Here is a 5,920-nt window from a genome sequence, read left to right as displayed (position 1 = left end):
ATCTTGTCTCTGCATAGCTCTCCATCCTCATCTCCTAGTCCCTTTTCATCACTGCCCAGCTGTACTGACCACTTATAGTTACCACACACGGTGAGCTGGGCCTCAGATCCTGTGTTCAAGCTGCTTCTTCTGAGCTCATCTTGGTTTTCCAAACACTGTCTTCAAAGTGGCTTGGTTGAGGGTTTGTGCCCATTAGACCACAGCCATTTCTCCTTGAGACCCACGTCTCTGCCATTCCCCACCCCCAAGATTTCTCTTTGGCTTTCCATCTGCAGCCTGGCTGAGTTCCATCTTGAACCCAATGCACATTTGACATTTCCTTGATTCAATGCAAAATTTTGACCAAGATTCTCTCAATATCCTCAGTGATGAACTGTGTCCTGAACCAGATTCAACATGCCATCTAGATTCCTTATATCAGTAGTTATCTCCTTCAAGCCTTGTTGATTTCAAGGAAATTAATGATCTCATATTCTACCCACCACAACCACTCCATTCATGGGCCTTTTGGTGTTAGGATCATCAATGGGACTATATCAGAAGAGGCAAGTATCACTAGATATCAGCTTTATCATCAACATAATCATTAACAGAAATTAACAGATTATCAACAAAACACCCATCATGAAAATCCAATGATTAGCATTCCACCTTGTGGAATGAATGAGAATGAACTGCACTAGATCCTAACCAAGTCACAGAGGTGAACTATAAACACTGGTATCCACATAAATTACCTAGAACCGCCTGCCTCAAGCTCAGTCTTCATTATTTTTCAATTATTTCCCTCTACTCAAAACACTTGAGTTGGAATTTGTACACATTCTGTTCCTAACATTGTTTTAAAAGTCTGTTTCAAAGAATAGCTGATCCATAAATTTCCCTGAGGTGCTGCTTACTATAGCCCTTTCTTGGAGATTTGAAATGGTTATTAGGATATTAAAGGCTTGGCAAGTACTGTAGTAGAGAAAGTGTTAACTGTTGGGCCCACATTGATTTGCTCATAGATGTTTATTTTTCTCATGAAATCTATTTGTGTCCTTCTATGCTAATATTTCACCCCTTGGGAGCCACTATCTTAGTTTTGATCATTCTTATACCACTGTGTACTCTCTTGGGAGTTAATCCCACACAGACTTCTTGTTTGTGGAGCCCAATAGCAGCCCCAGCCTGGTGAGCTGCCCACCCAGTTCTGCCAGCTCTGTAGTACTCTCACACTTACTTAAGGAAGAACTTTTCTTTATCAGCTGCCATGATCAGCCAGCCCTCTATCACAAGCTGTTAAATCTTTTGGTGGAAACATTCTGTCCTTCACTGGGGACATTCTAAAACCTTTATTTGGAGAGTCCCACAGCACTTCCTGCCTGCCTAACATCACTTTAAATCCCATCACTTCACCACCTTTTATCATTTAATTATGGCTCTTCCTTAAGCACTTGAGATTTAAGAGCAAACTATCACAGTAGTGATTCTTGTATTTAGGCTGGGCCTAGAGTCCCCTGGAAGACTTGAAAAAAGGAAGAAAAAAAAAACAGTTGTTCGGGCCCATCCTAGAATTTTTGATTCAACAATTCTGGGGTACAGATCAATAAATTGCATTTCCTACAAATTCCCAGTTGATGCTAATTCCAGGGACCATATTTTGAGAACCACTGATATACAGAAATGGTTACAAGTACAGAATACCTTTGCCTTCAAAAAAGTTGCAGACAAAGCTATTCCTTGCCTTCAAAAATGTTGCTCAAGGTTGGTAAAAACAGTATACAGAAGAAAAATGGGAAAAAATTAACGGTAACCCAGAAAATTATTCAAATGTCTAGTGTTCTGTATGGGGCAAGGGAAAAAAAAGATCCTGTTTTATTGATTTTTAATCTGAAAGGTAAGAAAAAATTTAAGCTGTGTGACTATTATTGATATGGTTAACCAGGCATCCTGGAGGCTGGAGGGGGTCACTGGGACTTATACAGCACAGTGGGTCTGATAGGTATCCACACGAATGTATTAACTATTTTTTTGTTTTTTGTTTTCTATTTTTTGAGATGGAGTCTCACTCTGTCACCAGACTGCAGTGCAGTGGCATGATCTTAGCTCACTGCAACCTCTACCTCCTGGGTTCAAGCAATTCTCCGGCCTCAGCTTCCTGAGTAGCTGGGATTACAGGCTTGCGTCACCACGCCCAGCTAATTTTTGTATTTTTAGTAGAGACGGGTTTTCACCATGTTGGCTAGGATGGTCTCTATCTCTTGACCTTGTTTGTGATCCACCCACCTCGGCCTCCCAAAGTACTGGGATTACAGACGTGAACCACCGCGCCCCGGCCGAATGTATTAACTTTTAGCATATTGTATTAGTTGGGAATGTTCACTTTGTTGCTATAACAAAAACAAAAATATCAATGAGTAATAAGAGGTTTATTTCCAAGTGCCCTAATAGCATGGGTGTGAGCAGCCCAGGGTTCAAATAGTAACTCTGTGGTGTGGAACACTCACAAACTTACAATAGTATTGTTCAGCCATTCTGAGCATAAGGATTCCCTATTGTGAAAAAAAGATGGAAGCTTCAGCTTTTGCCAAAAAAAAAATTAGGAAGCACATATTCTTTTTCTATTTAGGTCGCACTCATCAATTTGTTCACATGTCACTATCCAGAACCTAGTCAAATGATTGAATTAGCAGCAAAGGAGACCAGGGTAGTATGTAATCTTCCCAACCAGCTAAAACTTCGGTTTCGTTGTTTTTTTTGTTTTTTGGTTTGTTTGTTTGTTTGTATTGGAGAGCACAGATATTCAAGGGGAAGCCGGGGACCTCTATCGCTTGTATTTTAATGCGCTGCAGTTTATGTGTTCCTGGTTAATTATATTTATGGGTTGCATGATCTTATGTCAACTATGCGAATGCAAGGAGTGTAAGCAAGTGGTTTAACAGTGTTTATAGAATGAAATGACTGATTGAAGGCAATGAGAATAGCACAAGAATATGTGAATGAGAAAACGGTAGAATTGACAGTTTTTCTAAGACTCAAGTCATCCCCAGCAGCCACATTAATGAATTAAAATAATGTTCCAAAGAATTCCGGCATATAGTAAGATGAAAACAAAACTTCTGAAATTATCTGGAAGAACATTTAAAATGTTGATCCATATCACTTTCATGAGCATCAGCTAATATCTTGCAACATAAGGCACAGTTAAGGTAAAATGCAAGGTGAATACTAACAAGGTGCACACATTATCATACATATATTACTGTGCATGTTGTATTATCATACCTATAAAAGCTACAAATATCCAATAAAATATGTACATATCCTATAAAATGAATACATATAGTTACTACACATTATAATCCCACTTTAGTAATCAGGAACAGAAAAATTATGTAAGAAGTCCAAGTTTTAGGCTGGGCGCCATGGCTCACGCCTGTAATCCCAACACTTTGGGAGGCCGAGGCAGGCGGATCACGAGGTCAGGAGATCATAGCCATCCTGGCTAACACGGTGAAACCCCGTCTCTACTAAAAATACAAAAAAAATTAGCTGGGCATGATGGCGGGTGCCTGTGGTCCCAGCTACGCGGGAGGCTGAGGCAGGAGAATGGCGTGAACCCGGGAGGTGGAGCTTGCAGTGGGCCGAGATCGCGCCACTGCACCTGCACTCCTGCCTGGGCAACAGAGCGAGACTCCGCCTCAAAAAAAAAAAAAAAAAAAAAAAAAAAAAAAAGAAGTCCAAGTTTTATATGGTTGCTATAATGCCATCAGGAATAGCCAGACATTTCAACATATTCTTATGTCATCTTTATCACCTCCTTTTAATGTCCTTTTTTACAACATACAAAATATATTAGTCTTTTAGCACAAATATACAATTCAAAATTTTTAAAAGCATGCATATATTGGGGACTCATGCTCAAAATACTTAACAACTTGGATTTGCAATTGTGTAAATGCTAATGGAATTGATTATTGTGGTTAACATACTTGTAAAAGGAAAGAAGTCTTTAAAAGGGAGCAGAGTGGGTGCTTTCATTTGACCAGCCAGAAAAGCCCTTCAATTGCCATGGCATCTGATACCTTCTCTCCATCACTAAGCTTCCTCCATTACCAATCTTATCACTACAAAAGACTACATTCTCTGATGTTTGGAGTTTCACATGATAGATCTTTCAATGTCTCCCATAAAAATCAAAATTATGGAGAACTGACATCTAGTATTGCTGAATCTAGCTGTAAGAAGAGATTGAACAGGTTTGAGAAAACCCATCCCTACGGCAGTGGGGATGCAGGTCAAGAGTTAGGTACAGTGAGGAGAGAGACCCTGCTAAAGGATGTGAAAAGACAGCAAAGAGGACAACTCAGGCAGTCTAAATGTGGGCATGGCACTAAAATGCTAAGCCTTGAGGGATTTTGATTCATTAACACTTGATATGGCATCTAGCTCTGAGGCTTAGGACTCTTGTCACTCTGCAAAGTTCCTTATCTTCTCTGTGTTCAACATCGCTGGTTTCTGTTTTGTAAGGGAAAGCCAATGCTTCCTTCATCTATCTCACGCTGTGGGTATGAACCATGCCCTCACATACACAAAAACTACTTTGCAAACTACAAATACCTGTATGTCCAGTCATACTGAAGGATGGTAAAACCTAAATAGTAGGAGATCATAGAAAAAGGTATTTCCTGTGGAATCAAAGAACAGTTATGTTTATAGGAAGAGAACTAGTATTTATTTTACATCATGATCCATCAGACACTTTCCATTCAGCATCTCATGAAATCCTCACCACAACTTTTCAGGTAGCATTATTTATTCCTATTTTACAGGTGAAGAAACTGAAGCTCATGAAGATTTCCTAATCTTGCCACAGGTAAGACTTGGTAAGACTGTGGCAGAGCTTACAGTCAAACCAAGGCCTAACTGTCCAAATCTTACAGATAGCACAGCTTCAGTGAAGCGACAGACCTGTCTTGCTCAGTGTGTTTATACCAGAAAACACATCTGAACTCAATGAAAGAATAAGCTAATTAGTCCAAAAGGCTAAGGTAAAGAACTTTCACATGATGTTTGAGAAATCAACATTTTATGTAGCACTCGTAGCAGAACACGTGTCTGTGTTAGAAAGATAATACACTGGAGGTATGTTCAACAGCCTGGAGGGGAGGGATTTAGATTAGACAGGCAGAGTGTAGTTTGAAGTTTTTGTCACGTGACCAGGGAAGTTGGTAAAAACTTGCCTTGAATGCTGGTGTCTGATTCAGCCACAGTCAGATAATTTGGCTCTGAGCACAGACAGAATGATTCAGAATATCCATCTAAAGTAGCTACAGGTAAGTTTCCAAAGGACAGAGGTGCTGTAGTTATAGAGACACACTCAATATAAATTGTCCTAAGTACTGAGCTCAATACTGTGTGCCACAGACTGAGGTTGATATAGTTATGGAGTACCATCTCTACAGATGGTGCTATTACAGATTCTGAAGACTAATAATAATAATAATAGACATGGCTCCAGCCTTCAAACGGCTAGTGGAGGTCAATAAGTAAAATGATCGTTCTAATGCACGATGATATGCTACGTGGGAGGAAGGCCAAGAACATTACTGAAACTAACCAGAACATATCTTTTCCTTTCCTAGAACTGATGCACAAGAGAGTTTGGATCATTGCTTGGACTTTTTCAACCGCCCCCCCTCCCGGCACACTGTGTGAAGACAGATTGCCACTGTTCCCACACATGTTAGAATGGGATGAATCCCACACTATGGCTATGGTCTGCATGTACTGACATGCACAGAGTAATTGTCCTGTATAATTGAAAACATGGGCACTGAGTTTTATATCCCTGACAGTCAACCAATGTCAACGAGATTTTATGGTGAATTTATGGTAGCAGGCTCTGGGTCCTAGGTTAATATGCCTTCTGCCTCTG

General features: G+C 40.1%; 1 annotated feature.

Moving 5' to 3' along the window:
* Nucleotides 1,140–1,698: an enhancer, noted in NCBI's record as "OCT4-NANOG hESC enhancer chr4:14366397-14366955 (GRCh37/hg19 assembly coordinates)". NCBI's record gives its function as "activates a minimal SCP1, AML or CMV promoter by ChIP-STARR-seq in naive H9 embryonic stem cells {active_cell/tissue: H9 hESC(naive)}" and the evidence as "EXISTENCE:reporter gene assay evidence [ECO:0000049][PMID:30033119]".

This window comes from Homo sapiens, chromosome 4 (genome assembly GCF_000001405.40).
Source record: "Homo sapiens chromosome 4, GRCh38.p14 Primary Assembly".
Taxonomy (NCBI): Eukaryota; Metazoa; Chordata; class Mammalia; order Primates; family Hominidae; genus Homo; species Homo sapiens.
The sequence above is the reverse complement of the archived record's forward strand: the minus strand, read 5'-3'. Positions and strand labels throughout refer to the sequence as shown.